This window comes from Homo sapiens, chromosome 5 (assembly GCF_000001405.40).
Source record: "Homo sapiens chromosome 5, GRCh38.p14 Primary Assembly".
NCBI lineage: Eukaryota > Metazoa > Chordata > Mammalia > Primates > Hominidae > Homo > Homo sapiens.
The window spans coordinates 20,807,254-20,823,871 of record NC_000005.10 but is presented as its reverse complement, the minus strand read 5'-3'; the positions used below and the strand labels follow the sequence as shown (position 1 = coordinate 20,823,871).

The 16,618-nt window shown below is 36.8% G+C and overlaps 1 long non-coding RNA gene across 1 annotated transcript in view; it reads right to left on the bottom strand.

The window, feature by feature from the left end:
- Positions 1-16,618, bottom strand: part of LINC02241 (long intergenic non-protein coding RNA 2241) — a 325,854-nt gene that overhangs the window by 113,822 nt on the left and 195,414 nt on the right. Inside the window, exon 5 of the long non-coding RNA NR_149120.1 lies at positions 15,959-16,019. This is a non-coding gene — a long non-coding RNA (long intergenic non-protein coding RNA 2241). The remainder of the gene's footprint in view (positions 1-15,958; positions 16,020-16,618) is intronic.

Sequence of the window (16,618 nt, the reverse complement as noted above, 5' to 3'; positions counted from 1 at the left end):
TTTGGGCCGGCTGAGTAGTGACTCTGCATTTAATGTTGCAGCTCAGGGAGTTAAAAAAGGTTCTAATAGTTCATTTGCTTGGTTAGCTGAAATATAAAGATGGCCTACTGTGAGCAAGCTGGAAATGCCTGATCTCCCTTGGTTTAATACAGAGGAAGGGATCCAAAGGCTTAGGGAGACTGGGATGATGGAGTGGATTAGTCAATTTAGACCTACTTATCCCAGCTGGGAGGGTCCAGAAGATATATCCTTGAGCAATGACTTGCAAAATACATTTGTGAGAGCAGCACCTGCATCTTTGAAGCACCCTGTAATTGCTCTTCTCTTATGTCAGAGCTAACATTGGAAACCACCATCACTCAACTACAAAATTTAAATAAAATGGGAATAATTCGATCCCGAGGTGGGGGGGGCCAAGTGGCAGCACTCAACCATCAAAGGCAAGATGGGCATAGCTACGGTAATATACAGCAGAAGCAAAGCAGCTATCAGAATAGTTTGACCCATGTAGAGCTCTGGCATTGGCTACTTAATCATGGTGTTCGTAGAAGTGAAACTGACAAGAAGCCTACTGCATTCCTACTTAATTTATATAAGAAGAAAACTTCTAGGTTGAATGGACAAAAGACTAATCTGAATTATAAAAACAGAGAGTCATGGCCCCTCAATCAATTTCCAGACTGGAGCTAGTTTACAGACCCAGTACCCCTTGAATGAAGGAGAGGCCAAGTTTCCCTTAAGAAGGATCCCACCACACTCCAGACAATTTTTGCAGTGAATCTTTCCCCCATCCTTCCCCAAGGAGACATCCAGCCTTTTACCAGGGTAACTGTGCTTTGGAGAAGGGGAAGTGATCAGACATTTCAGTGACTACTGGACACTGGCTCTGAGCTGACACTGATTCCAGGGCAACCAAAACATCACTGTGGTCTTCCAGTTTAAGTATGGACATATGGAGGTCAGGTAATTAACGGAGTTTTAGCTCAGGTCTGACTTACAGAGGGTCCCTGGATTCATCCTATGGTCATTTCCTTAGTGTCAGAATGCATAATTGGCGTAAGTATACTTAGCAGCTTGCAGAACCCACACATTGGCTCCCTGACTGATAGGATGAGGGCTATTATGGTGGGAAAGGCAAAATGGAAGCCATTATAGCTGCCTCTACCTGGAAAAATAGTAAATCAAAACAATATCATATCCCTCGAGGGATTGCAGAGATTAGTGCCACTTGTCTTGAAAGACACAGGGGTGGTGATTCACACCATAACACAGTTCAACTCTCCTATTTGGCCTGTGCAGAAGACAGAAGGATCTTGGAGAATGACAGTGGATTATCATAAGCTTAAACAAGTGGTAACTCAAATTGCAGCTGCTGTACCAGATGTGGTTTAATTGCTTGAGCAAATTAACATATTTGGTACCTGGTATGCAGCCATTGACTTGGCAAATGCCTTTTTCTCCATTCCTTTTCATAAGGCCTACCAGAAGCAATTTGCCTTCAGCTGGCAAGGCCAGCAATATACCTTTACTGTCCTACCACAGGGATATATCAACTCTCCGGCTTTGTGTCATAATCTTATTCAGAGGAAATCTTGATCACTTTTCGCTTCTGTAAGATATCACACTGGTCCATTACATTTATGACATTATGCTGATTGGATCCAGTGAGCAAGAAGTAGCAAACACACTGGACTTATTGATGAGACATTTGCATGCCAGAGGATGGGAAATAAATCTGGCTTAAATTCAGGGATCTTCTACCTCAGTAGAATTTCTAGGGGTCCAGTGGTGTGGGGCCTGTTGAGATATTCCTTCAAAGATAAAGGATAAGTTACCACATTTGGTCGCTCCTACAACCAAGAAAGAGGCACAATGCCTAGTGGGCCTATTTGGATTTTGGAGGAAACACATTCCTCATTTGGGTGTGTTACTCTGGCCCATTTATCAAGTGACATGAAAAGCTGCCAGTTTTGGGTGGGTTCCAGGACAGGAGAAGGCTTTGCTAAGGTCCAGGCTGCTGTTTAAGCTGCTGTGCCACTTGGGCCATATGACCCAGCAGATCCAATGGTGTTTCAGGTGTCAGCAGCAGATAAGGATGCTGTTTGGAACCTTTGGCAGGTTCGCATAGGTGAATCACAGCGGAGGCCTCTAGGATTTTGGAGCAAGTCCCTGCCATCTTTTGCAAATAACTACTCTCTTTTTGAGAGACAGGTCTTGGCCTATTACTGGGCTTTGGTGGAAACTGAACATTTAACTGTGGGTCATCAAGTCATCATGTGGCCTGAACTGCCTATCATGAACTGGGTGCTTTCTGACCCATCTAGTCATAAAGTGGGTTGTGCATAGCAGCATTCCATCATCAAATGACAGTGGTATACATGTGATGGATCTTGACCAGGTCCTGAAGGCACAAGTAAGTTATATGAGGAAGTGCCTCAAATTCTCATGGTCTCCACTACTGCCACCCTGCCTTCTCTCCTCCAGCCTGCACTGATGGCCTCATGGGGAGTTGACAATATAATAGTTGACAGAGGAAGAGAAAAATAGGGCCTGGTTCACAGATGGTTCTACATGATATGCAGACACTACTTGAACGTGGACAGCAGCAGCACTACAGCCTCTTTCTAGGACATTCTTGAAGGACAGCGGTGAAAGGAAATCTTCCCAGTGGGCAGAACTTCGAGGAGTGTACCTGGTTGTGCACTTTGCATGGAAGGAGAAATGGCCAGATGTGCGATTACATACTGATTCATGGACTGTAGCCAATGGTTTGGCTGGATGGTCAGGGACTTGGAAGAAGCATGATTGGAATATTGTTGACAAAGAAATTTGGGGAAGAGGTATGTGGCTGGACCTCTCTGAGTGGTCAAAAACTGTGAAGATATTTGTATCCCATGGGAGTGCTCATCAATGTGTGACCTCAGAAGAAGAGGAGTTTAATAATCAAGTGGGTACAGTACCTAGAGGATTCAGAGATTTTTATAAAGTTATTTTTAAGATACAAGACAATACCTAGAGAATTCAGAGATTATTATAAAGTTATTTTTTAAAGCCCCTACAAAAATACTATTGATTCACAGTTCATTGTGATTCAGATCTCCAGACATAAATAACAGAAAACATTTTCATCCCAAATGAGGTAAAGTAAGGAAAAAATAAAAAAGCTTTAACGTTTTTTGTGCTCCTCAACTCACAATGGGGTTAAGCCTTGATAAATCCATCATAGGTTGAAAATATTGTCAGTCAAATGTATTTACTACACCTAACCTACCAAATGTCATACCTTAACCTGGCCTACCTTAAACAGGCTCAGAACATTTACATTTGCCTATAGTTGTACAAAATCATCTAATATAAAATCTATTTTATAATTAAGTGTTGAATAATTCATGGCTGTTAACCTTTGTGATTATTTGGCTAACTGGGAGCTGTGGCACACTGCCCAGTATTACACGAGAGTATTGTACCATATATCTACAGCCAGCAAAAGTAAAAAATCAAAATTTGCATTTCTGTTTCTACTGAATTTGTATTGCTTTCATAACATCATAAAGTCAAAACACCATGTCAAATGACAGTAAGTTGGGAACTGTCTGTTATTTAAATAAAGTACTTAATATATTAGAAAACCTTTGTACCATAATTGGCAATAAAATTAAGAATTTTAAGAGGTTTTGGTCCATCTATTTCCAAATTCTACTTATCTTGAGGAAGGTTTACATTTAAGTGATATATTTCATTTCAAAGACTTTCTTAACATTGATCTATTCAACAGATTTTTCAGCATCAACTAAATATCTGACACCACTGCTACGTGTTGGGGATGTCAATTCAAAATATAGATGGCTTCTGGATTAATCTTGATAGAAATCTGTTTTCAAAAAGTCAATGTATTTTGGGAAGAGTTATAATAATGTATCATAGCTCTAAGCTACAATAATACAATATATAAATTCATGTCAATCTTGCTCAGAAATTCTATTCAGATGCCTAAAATCTAATCAATATATCATAATCAATTAAAACAGTTTACTCTGGTAGTTCTCTGTGATACATTTAACATATTTTCACTGTATTAGACATAAATAATGTTTATTAATAAATCCCACTGCAAAACAGTTCAGGTGGCTTTGGGTCTACCCAGTTCTCCCCCAACTCTTGCTTGTATTTTTCAAGAATAACCATAGAATGTGCTAGGAAGGCAACATTCTGAGAAGAGGAGAAATTGTCCTGAACAGCATTCTATGTTCTAGTCTCCCTGCTAGAAACAGGATGTCCTTCATGCCTTATCCCAGAGTCTCCTGGGACCCTGGCATATAAGACCCAGGATTGCTGCTTTCTAGAATCCTCCAGGGTCAGTGCAAGTGGGACACATGCAGATAAAATTCCGTCTAACCCAAGCAGCTTTTCTGAGCCTCAGGGAACCAGCTCACAGTGAATCCCAAGTTTCTGTTACTCCTTGCCGCCCATCTATAAACTGACTTCATGGATGTTTGGATGTGTGTGCGGATGTTCTGACTCATTGGACTCGGAGAAGTTGGTAACTCTGAACTTTCTTCATATCCATCTAATCATGGCACTCAAAATGAATTAACATACTTGAGAATTTGAAAAGATCAAAAATATTTTCTCTGATATGGACTTACTACTACTGCTGTATATACACAGACAAATGATAGTGGCTATGTTCCAACAAAACTCTATTTACAGAAACAGGCAAAAATTGGCCAGTAGGCTGTCATTTGCTAATCATCGATTCAGATAATATTACATCTGATTTTCATTACTCAATTCTTGAAAGATTGATACTGTATACAACACAATTAACGTGGAATACTGGGAAAATGGAATCCAAAATACTCATTTTAAAACATTAATTTGTTAACACAATTCATTTTAATGATTCCATAAAGCCAAAAGACAAAGTCGGTATAAGGCAGAGGTGGTATTTTTTTGAAAATCTACAAGTGTGTCCTGCTGACTATCGAGTTACATAGAGCACTTATCAAGAAAATAAAAATAAATCCTAGAAATGTCAGTTTTGCTTTAATTCAATTCAAATTTAAAGCAAATTAAAAACAAAAAATGCAAACTCATTTTTACAAGCAATGAACAACATTTACAGGTTCCTAGTAATATGAAAAAATTCAAGGTTTCTTACATGTTTCAAACTTTTAAACAAAGCAATGCATATTGTTCAAGATATGTGTTACATTTTAATTAAAATTAACCAGTTGAACAGTTCTTTTTTTTTCTTTTTTTTTATTATATTTAAGTTCTGGGATGCATGTGCAGAAGGTGCAGGTTTGTTACATAGGTATACACAGGCCATTGCGGTTGGTTGCACCCATCAACCTGTCATCTACATTAGGTATTTCTCCTGATGCTATCCCTCCCTTAGTCCCTTACCACCTGACGGGCCTGGGTGTGTGATGTTACCCTCCCTGTGTCCATGTGTTCTACAATACGTATTTCTCCTTTTTAATGTGCTGCTGGATTCGATTTGCCAGTATTTTATTGAGGATTTTCACATCAATGTTCATCAGGGATATTGGCCTGAAATTTTCTTTTTTTTGTTGTGTCTCTGCCAGGTTTTGGTATCAGGATGATACTGGCCTCAAAATGAGTTAGGGAGGAGTCCCTCTTTTTGTATTGCTTGGAATAGCTTTAGGAGGAATGGTACCAGCTCCTCTTTGTACCTGTAGTAGAATTCGGCTGTGAATCCATCTGGTCCTGGGCTTTTTTTGCTTGGTAGGCTATTAATTGCTACCTCAATTTCAGAACTTGTTATTGGTCTATTCAGGGCTTCACTTTCTTCCTGGTTTAGACTTGGGAGGTGTATGTGTCCAGAAATTTATCAATTTCTTCTAGATTTTCTAGTTTATTTGTATAGAGGTATTTATAGTATTTTCTGATGGTAGTTTGTATTTCTGTGGAATCAGTGGTGATATCCCCTTTATCATTTTTTATTCTGTCTATTTGATTCTTCTCTCTTTTCTTCTTTATTAGTCTAGCTAGCAGTCTATCTATTTTGTTAATCTTTTCAAAAACCCAGTTCCTGGATTCATTGATTTTTTTGAAGGGTTTTTTGTGTCTCTATCTCCTTCAGTTGTACTGTCATCTTAGTTATTTCTTGTCTTCTGCTAGCATTTGAATTTGTTTGCTCTCGCTTCTCTAGTTCTTTTAATTGTGGTGTTAGGGGGTCAATTTTACATCTTTCCAGCTTTCTCCTGTGGGCATTTAGTGCTATAAATTTCCCTCTAAACACTGCTTTAGCTGTGTCCCAGAGATTCTGATACATTATGTCTTTGTTCTCATTTGTTTCAAAGGATATATTTATTTCTGCCTTAATTTCGTTATTTACCCAGTAGTCATTCAGGAGCAGGTTGTTCAGTTTCCATGCAGTTGTGTGGTTTTGAGTGAGTTTCTTAATCCTGAGTTCTAATTTGATTGCACTGGTGTCTGAGAGACTGTGTGTTATGATTTTCATTCTTTTGCATTTGCTGAGGAGTCTTTTACTTCCAATTATGTGGTTGATTTTAGAATAAGTGCTATGTGGTACTGAGAAGAATGTATATTCTGTTGATTTGGGGTGGAGAGTTCTGTAGATGTCTATTAGGTCTGCTTGGACCAGAGCTGAGTTCAAGTCCTCAATATCCTTGTTAATTTTCTGTCTCATTGATCTGTCTCATATTGACAGTGGGGTGTTAAAGTCTCCCACTATTATTATGTGGGAGTCTAAGACTCTTTGTAGGTCACTAAGAACTTGCTTTATGAACGTGGGTGCTCCTGTATTGGGTGCATATATATTTAGGATAGTTAGCTCTTCTTGTGTAATGTAATGCTCTTTGTCTTTTTTGATATTTGTTGGTTTAAAGACTGTTTTATCAGAGACTAGGACTGCAACCCCTGCTTTTTAATTTTTTTTTTTATTTTTTGCTTTCCATTTGCTTAGTAAATCTTCCTCCATACCTTTATTCTGACCCTATGTGTATCTTTGCATGTGAGATGGGCCTCCTGAATACAGCACACCGATGAATCTTGACTCTTTATCCAATGTGCCAGTCTGTGTCTTTTAATTGGGACATTTAGTCCATTTAAATTTAAGATTAATATTGTTATGTGTGAATTTGATCCTGTCATTATGATGCTAGCTGGTTTTTTTTTCCCACTAGTTGATGCAGTTTCTTCATAGTGACGATGGTCTTTACATTTCGGATTGTTTTTGCTGTGGCTGGTGCCAGTTTTTCCTTTCTATATTTAGTGCTTCCTTCAGGAGCTCTTGTAAGGTAGGCCTGGTGGTGACAAAATCTCTCAGCATTTGCTTGTCTGTAATGGATCTTATTTCTCCTTCACTTATGAAGCTTTTTTCGCTGGATATGAAATTCTGTGTTGAAAATTCTTTTATTTAAGAACGTTGAGTATTGGCCCCCACTCTCTTCTGGCTTGTAGGGTTCTGCAGAGAGATCTGCTGTTAGTCTCATGGGCTTCCCTTTGTTGGTAAGCTGACCTTTTTGGCTGCCCTGAACATATTTTCCTTCATTTCAACCTTGGTGAATCTGATGAATATGTGTCTTGGGGTTGCTCTTCTTAAGGAGTATCTTTGTGGTGTTCTCTGTATTTTCTGAATTTGAATGTTGGCCTGTCTTCCTAGGTTGGGGAAGATCTCCTGGATAATATTCTAAAGTGTGTTTTCCAATTCGATGCATTCTCCCCATCACTTTCAGGTACACCAATCAAACGTAGGTGCGGTCTCTTCACATAGTTCCATATTCCTTGGAGGCTTTGTTCGTTCCTTTTCATTCTTTTTTTTATCTAATCTTGTCTTCATACTTTATTTCATTAAGTTGATCTTCAGTCTCTGATATCCTTTCTTCTGCTTGATCAATTCAGCTATTGATACTTGTATATGCTTCACGAAGTTCTCGTGCTGTTTGTCACCTCCATCAGGCCATTTATGTTCTTCTCAAAACTGGTTATTCTAGTTAGCAGTTCCTGTAACCTTCTATCAAAGTTCTTAGCTTCCTTGACTTGTATTGGTTTAGAACATTCCTCTTTAGCTAGGAGGAGTTTGTTATTACCCACCTTCTGAAGCCTACTTCTATCAATTCATCAAACTCAATCCAGTTTTGTTCCCTTCCTGGCAAGGAGTTGTGATCCTTTGGAGGAGAAGAGGCATTCTGGTTTTCGGAATTTTCAGCCTTTTTGTGCTGGCTTTTCCTCATCTTCATGGATTTGTCTACTTTTGGTCTTTGATGTTGGTGACCTTTAGATGGGGTTTTCGAGTGGTCATCCTTTTTGTTGATGTCGATGCTATTGCTTTTGTTTGCAGGACCCTGTTCTGCAGGTCTGCTGGAGTTTGCAGGAGGTCCACTCCAGACCCTGTTTGCCTGGATATCACCAGTGGAGGTAGCATAACAGCAAAGATTGCTGCCTGCTTCTTCCTCTGGAAGCTTCGTCCCAGAAGGACACCTGCCAGATGTCAGCTGGAGCTCTCCTGTATGAGGTGTTTGTCGAACTTTGCTGGGAGGTGTCTCCCTGTCAGGAGGCATGGGGGTCAGGGACCCATTTAAGGAGGCAGTCTGTCCCTTACTAGAGCACGAGCGCTGTGCTGGGAGACCCACTGCTCTCTTCAGAGCCGGCAGGCAGGAACATTGAAGTCTGCTGAAGTTGTGCCCACAGCAGCCCCTTCCCCCAGGTGTTCTGTCCCAGGGAGATGGGAGTTTTATCTACAAGCCACTGACTGGGGCTGCTGTCTTTCCTTCAGAGATGTCCTGCCCATAGAGGAGGAATCTAGAGAGGCAGTCTGGCTACAGCACATTTGTGGACTGCGGTGGGCTCCGCCCAGTCCAAACTTCCCAGTGGTTTTGTTTACACTGAGGGGAAAACCGCCTGCTCAAGCCTCAGTAATGGCAGATGTCCCTTCCCCCACCAAGCTCCAGTGTCCCAGGTCGACTTCAGATTAGTGTGCTGGCAGCAAGCATTTCAAGTGAGTGGATCTTAGCTTGCTGGGTTCTGTGGAGATAGGATCTGCTGAGCAAGAACCCTTAGCTCCCTGGCTTCAGCCCCATTTCCAGGCGAATAAACAGTTCTGTATTGCTGGCATTCCAGGCACCACTGGCGTACAGAAAAAAAATCTCCTGCAGCCTACTTGGTGTCTGCCCAAAGGACGTCCAGTTTTGTGCTTGAAACCCAGGGTGCTGGTGGCATAGGCACCCGAGGGAATCTACTGGTTTGCAGGTTGCGAAGACTGGGAAAAGCGTGGTATTTGGGCTGGAATGCAGGCTTCCTCATGGCACAGTCCCTCACGGCTTCCCTTGGCTAGGGCAGGGAGTTCACCAACCCCTTGCACTTCCTGGGTGAGATGACATCCCACCCTGCTTTGGCTCTCCCTCCGTGGGCTGCACCCACTGCCTAACCAGACCCAATGAGATGAGCTGGGTACCTCACTTGGAAATGCAGAAATCACCCACCTTCTATGTTGGTCTCACTGGGAGCTTCAGACTGGAGCTGTTCCTATTCAGTCATATTGCCCATGAATCCCTGAATCCAAAATATTAAACACAAATATGGATTGGTATTTTGAAGGTCAGTGGAAAATAGATTACCTTCTACAGGTAATTTCTTTTTGTCACTGTTGGTCTCCATGTTGTGAAAGCATAGAGCAATGAGAGTTTTTGACCAGCAGTGGTCTGCAGATCACACCTTGTGAAACTTTGCTTAGAGCAAAATACAGTACCTTATATTTTTCTTGCCAAAGTTCAATGTCTCTGGACAACATTGGATGAGTATTCATCACATCTAGATTGTTAGGCTTTTGTTTTTCCAAATTTTTAAATGGAATATGCTTACAAACTTAGTATAGTAAGAACATTTTAAGATATTGAGTGTTCCCTGATGCTTTGATATACATGGTTATTAAAAACAGCTTTGCTCAGAAATTGCAGTCTATCCCTATCATTCATATATTAGCCACAAGCTATTGTTAGTTGTTTGATTTTTTTTAAGCTTAGATTGATATCATTATTTATCTTGGCTCCATCTGAAAATGTTTTGTTTACTTTGTGCCCATGCTTTGGCATGTTCTACAGCTCAGGGTAGAAACACACACACAATAGACTTACATACACAACTATGATACACAATTGTTAAGCAACTGACTATTACATCCATTTTTCCATAAAAGATACACTAATCTTATAGTAAATATATATTTTTAAATCTAAGTATAAAGGATCAAATATTTTAAAAATCTATTTAGTATTCCTTCCTACCAATTTATAATTATATTTGACTTTTATTGTTACCATTATTGAACTGACTGATTGGCTAACTTCTCTTCTATTATTTTCTTCCTTTTGACCTTCAAAAACTAGACATGTTGACTAGAGATAGCTGCAAAAACACATTCTTTGCAATTTTTTTTGTTAATCAAATCTTGAGCAACACTGCATTTCTTTCTATGTTAATATCTGGTTCTTTATTGAAATTGAGTAATTGTGTTATGAAATATGTTATTTCTTAGGCAGAATTTATGCAAACGATTTGCATTGTGATGCAATAAGAATGAGAAAAGCTACATGAAAAGTAAACTCACGAAATCAAATTATGTGAAAAAATTTAGATTAACTGTATTTAACTTTAACATCATTTTCTGATTTTTAATGTAAATCTTTATTTAGTTTCATTATTTCAAATAAGAAATCACAATACTTCATGAATTGTTTCAAACAATGATGAAAGAGAAGCAATAGTTTTGGTGAAAACCTTCAAGGTCAATGAAATTGCCATAGCATGGTAGTCAGTAAGTTGTATGAGAGTTATTAGAAAGAAGAGACTGAGGGTATAAGAGTTTTAGTAAACATATTATAAAGAATAAATATTTAGCAATTTATATCAGACTAAAATTAAAGCAAAATATTTTACAAAATTAAATTTAAAAAGGAAAGACTGATGTGAGCACATTTGATTAACAAGAATATATTTCGGCTTTGTTAGTAACCCCAGTGGCCTAGAGGTTAGTAACTCCAAGCTACCAAGTACCAGTATTGTGGAATAATATTAAATGCCCACATTTTGATCAACAATACTATTTTTATTTAAAGTCTCCAGACCTACTTTGAGAATGCTGCTTTAATGAATGAATACATAAAAATAAAGATATATCTTAAACCTTGCTCTACAGATAGAATATTATATTTAATCTAATCTAATATTATATTATAATATTATAAACACATAGTATTCCCACTGACAAAGTGTGATAATGTTACTATCAAAAGAAAATACTTATAGCAAGCTTTAAAATTGAGTCTAAGCAGCAAACCACCATGGCACGTGTATACCTATGTAACAAACCTGCACGTTCTGCACATGTACCCCAGAACTTAAAGTATAATAATAAAAAAAATAAAACTGAGTCTGTAAGAAGCCTTGATAATATAAACATTCACAAGAAAACTAATATCAATATATAATTTATAAAGTCAGAAGAGGTAACTTCAGCAGTGAAGAAGATTGCCAAAATGAAAACAGTTTTCATTTTTATTAAGTGTAATACATTGGGAAGTGTTCAGATATGTGGGTTTTCAATTTCATCTGCTACCTAAATGTTAATGAAAGAAGGGATGTGATTTTCACTATCTATCATAGTATAGACAGATGGACTCAGTGAACTTAAAGCCAGTCAAGCAATTAATATGTTGCATTGGGTATTTATCTTCTAGAAAGAATTAAATTGTTTATCCAAAATGATCATAAAAGAGAATTAATTTGCTGTATAGATTCTAACTTCTTATAAAACTACACAGTTCTAACATTTGTTTTCTGTTGAACTGAAGGTTGCTGGCTGGGGCCAGGCTTACCCAGTATGTAACTCAGCCTCTCTTTAGTACAGCTCTAGGAGTTTCTGAAATCTAGTTTGAAAAGAGCAATTCTAGAATATTAGCAAACTTGTCCTGCAGCCCTGTGATATTTGGCAGGGCAAATATCATCATTACCAATACTTACTTTTATCCTCTAAAATTATAATTGACCTTTATAATTTATATATTATAAAAATGATCTGTTATTGTCCATGGCCCTTGGATAGTTTCTTAAGATCTTGGATCATTAGCACTCAAATACATCTTTGATATTACTTCAGTCAATGTGCTTTTTAACAATTCTGCTCTAAATAGAAAAATCAGCAGTGAACCAGTGGGATAGTAATTCTCTGAGCAGTAATCTTGAAACAGCAATATTAGTTCAAAGAGCGTATAGCCATGTAAAATGAAGTTCAGATACAGTTATAGGCCATGGACTTCTTTAGCTCTGACCACAACTCTCAATAACAAGAACAAAGATGCCTTATAAGGTCTAGTGGCAGCTCTTTGGTCACAAACAGACACAGGGATTTAGAAGACCAGTATTACCATTCAAGTGCCACACAGAGTTAGAAAGTTTCTAATAAACAATTTTAGTTAATATTTAAATATTTATAGTTCTTTTCTACCTCCTTTTTAGTTTTCAATGATATTTGTAACCACTTTTTATTATGACCAGATTTCCTTTCTTTAATTTAACATTTTTCTGTATTACCCCAAAATCTATTGTGTTGAAACTAATTTGTTTACATTGTCTCTGGATAAAATATGGATCCTGTGTTTTTTCAAGCCAGGCATTTATATAACTTTCCTTGGCATTGATAAAGGGAATATTATTCAAGAATAATGCATTTCTTCTTATGTCCCTTGATTATATAATCCATAATAATCCAATTATGTATTCAAGGGATACAAGAAGAAATCAAATCAAATGAAAAGTACCTCATAATGTAAATAAAACTATATGTATATTCTGAAATTGTACTCTTGAAATTACATCTAATATTAAATATTCCGTGAGTTTTTAAACTTGCTGTGTGTGAACGTGTATGCAGTTAAGCATACAGCCAAATATAGCCAATTGAAGTCACTGACTCAGATAGTACAATTCCTTGAGTTGTAGAAAATTACAATATTAAGATATTTTGAATGAGGTATGCTGTTTTATAATTATGAAAGCGAACAATAATAGATGAAGAAAATTCTGTAATTAATCAAGATTTGAGAAATTAGCTTTGAATACAAGTCACAGAAACATTCTTCATTAATAATTCAATAAGATTTTCCTTAATAGGTTACTAAAATTTTATATGTATATTCATACCTCTTATGCAGATGACATTCTACTAGGAGATATGGAGAATTTTAACACATAAAATACTATTTTGTGGTGACAAGAGATTGACAATTTAACATAGAAGAGAATATGTTCATAATGTCCATTTTTTTTTCTAAGAGGATTTTTCCTTCTGCAAAGAAAGGCACTCAAACTGATCCTTAAAGAATTAGAAAAATTTAGAGAAGAGAAATTGAATCAGAAAGGAAGGAGAAAAGAGGGAATAGTAGGGGCAAGGGTATCCTGGTTAGAAAGGTGTCAATGAAACCAACACAGCTTTCCATGGCAGAGGGATGTAAGGGAAATTGGAACACTGGGCATCAAGGGAAAGTCATAGAACATTCTTGGGAGCCCCAAATTGTTAGATCATTTGTCTGAATATAGGATTCTAGATTAACACTTATTTTTCTCAGGACATTAAAATAATATGTTGTCTGACAATCAACTCCTTTCTCATGCTAGTACGTCCTCCTTTTCCTATCATTCCTTTCTTTTCCATCCATATGTCCATCAGTCAATGAATGGATAAAATACAGTATGTCCAATATATGAAATATTATTTATGAATTATAATTATTATTTTGCTCTTTCCTTATTTTTTCTTTAACTCTTTCTTTTATAATTGATATCTCTGTTAAGTATTTAAATCAGTTGTTGCAGATTATTGATAATTGCAAAATCAGCACACATGAAGGGCTGGACCAGCACAATTTAAGTGATCCTTGGTGATAACTTGAGGATATTTGTTACTAATTGATATATTATTAAGAGACAATTACACCATAATGTGATGTCACATCACACTTACTTGGTTATAATTAAAAAGATATAAAAGTAGTGTTGGTGAGGATGTGAGAGGCTGGAAGCTTTGTACTGTGCTGGTAGGAATGTAAAATGGTACTGCTACTTTGTAAAAGTCTGGCAGTTTCTCAAAAAGTGAAACATAGAATTACTATATGATCCCACAATTCCACTCCCAGACAAGTACTTGAGAAGTAAAAATATATATACACCAAGTTCATAGCAGCACTATTTATAATAAACAGGGAAGAAACATATAAATGTCCATCAACTGATGAATGAATAAATGTGTTATGTGCAGTGAAATATTATTTGTCAATAATAAAAAATAAAGTACTGATGCATACTAAATTAAAAATGAATTTTTAAAAATATTATGTCAACAAAAGGAATTAGTCACAGAAGACCATGTGTTGTATGATTTCATTCATATGAATTGTCAAAATTGGCAAATCTCTAAAGACAGAAAGCAGATTGGTGGTTGCCTAAGACTGAGGGTGATGGTGGGGAAAAATGAGGGTGACTGTTAAGTAAGTGGTATAGAATTTTTGCTTTGGGGTAATAGAAGTTTTCTAAAGTTTTTGTGGTGATGGTTGCCCCACTCTGTGAATATACCATCATGAGCTGCGTAACTACGTTTTGGTCAACAATGGACTGCATATATGGTCCCAGTAATTACAATAGAACTAAAAATGTTTCTATCATATCATATGTTTTCTATGTTTAGATATGTTTACACAGGCAAATACCATTGAGTTACAATTGCTTACCGTATTCACTACCGTAACTTGCTGTACAGGTTTGTAGCTTATGAGCAGTAAGATATACGGGGTAGCCTAGGTGTGTAGTAGCCTATACTATCCAGGTTTGTGGAAGTACATTTTATAATGTTCTCACAAGGATGAAATTGCTTAATGATGCATTTCTTAGAACATATCTGCATTAAGCAATGCATTATTATAACAAAATCTATTGAATTTTAAAATTTAAATTAATATATTGTATGGTATGTTAGTTTATTTCAAATATATACATATGTGTGTATATATATGTGCATATACATACACATATGTATACAAATACATATATATATATATATGTATATACACACACATTACTAGAAGGCCACTAGCATTTTTATAAACTATTGTATAAATTGCTGTATGATGGGTCATATGAGTTTCTTTAATCGTCGACAGTGTTCACAGTATAAGGATATAGTGACGGGTCATTTCTAGGTAGAATAAAGATGAGGGGTATGATCCAATTACTGCAAGGAATTTCAGTGATGATTATTTTCATAACAATTGGGATATGGCTTAATTCCTGAAATATACCTAAAATGTATATTTATTTGAAGTATACCTAAACAAATATCAGCTTCATATTATCTTGTGTCACTTTTTCTGAATTTAATGAACTACCTTACCTTGAATAAAAATCAGTAAGTGTATCAGAAATGAACCATTTGTTATATTTGTGTATAATAAGCCAAATTAATAAGCTCACTTTTATTCTCAAACATACAGAAGGCCTGGCCTTTCTTTCTGAGTTGCCAATTTAAGCCAAAAAATTATTTTATTGCTGGAATTTCTTGCAGTAATTGGACTACACTTTTCATCTTGATTCTACCTAGAAATGATCTGTCACTGTATCTACGTACTGTGAACACTGTAATAAAAAGAATTTATGTGAACCACCGTACAGCAATTTTTACATTTAGATAATTTATAAAAATGCCAGTGGCTCTTATTTCACAGTGTAGTTTGCAGCACTACAGAATAATTGCAACTCACAGAAAGATAATGAGCAATGGGAGCATTTAAGATACTTTTACATTAGCATAATTAACACAATTTTATTCAAAGTCTAGTTAGAATTTTAGAACATTCCTTAACTAACTTTACAGTAGTGTTCTCATCATTCAGTGTAGATTAACATAATCCTGATATTTTACCTTAGTAAGTGTAAGACACAGTTGTTCAGGAATTACAAAAGCACTCACTTCCTTATTGTTCCTACAAAGAAAAGAAAATAGTTAATTTGAAACAAGTAAAACACATTCATTTTTGTAACCTTAGAAACTAGCTTTATTTGTAATAGTGAAAGTATGTATTGAGATCATTAAGGTCATGCAAAAATTTGCAATGGACCCCAAATATTCTATAACGTAAAAAGATTTCCTCAATTTTGAGTTTCTTTAATGTGGTGTGTAAATAATTGAGCCTAGATATTTTGCACATTTGGTTAAAACACACACACAGAGAGACAGGGGAGAGAGAGAGACAGAGAGAGAGAGAGAGAGAGAGAGAGAGAGAGAGATAGAGAGAGAGAGATACTTCGGAGATATTGCAGGTTTGTTTCCAGAACACTGCAATAAAGTGAGTATTTCTTTTTTTTATTTTTATTTTTATTTTTTTGAGATGGAGTCTCACTCTGTCACCCAGGCTGGAGTGCAGTGGCACAATCTCGGCTCACTGCAAACTCCGCCTCCCGGGTTCACGCCATTCTCCTGCCTCAGCCTCCCAAGTAGCTGGGACTACAGGCACTCGCCACCACACCCGGCTAATTTTTTGTATTTTTAGTAGAGATGGGGTTTCACCTTGTTAGCCAGGAT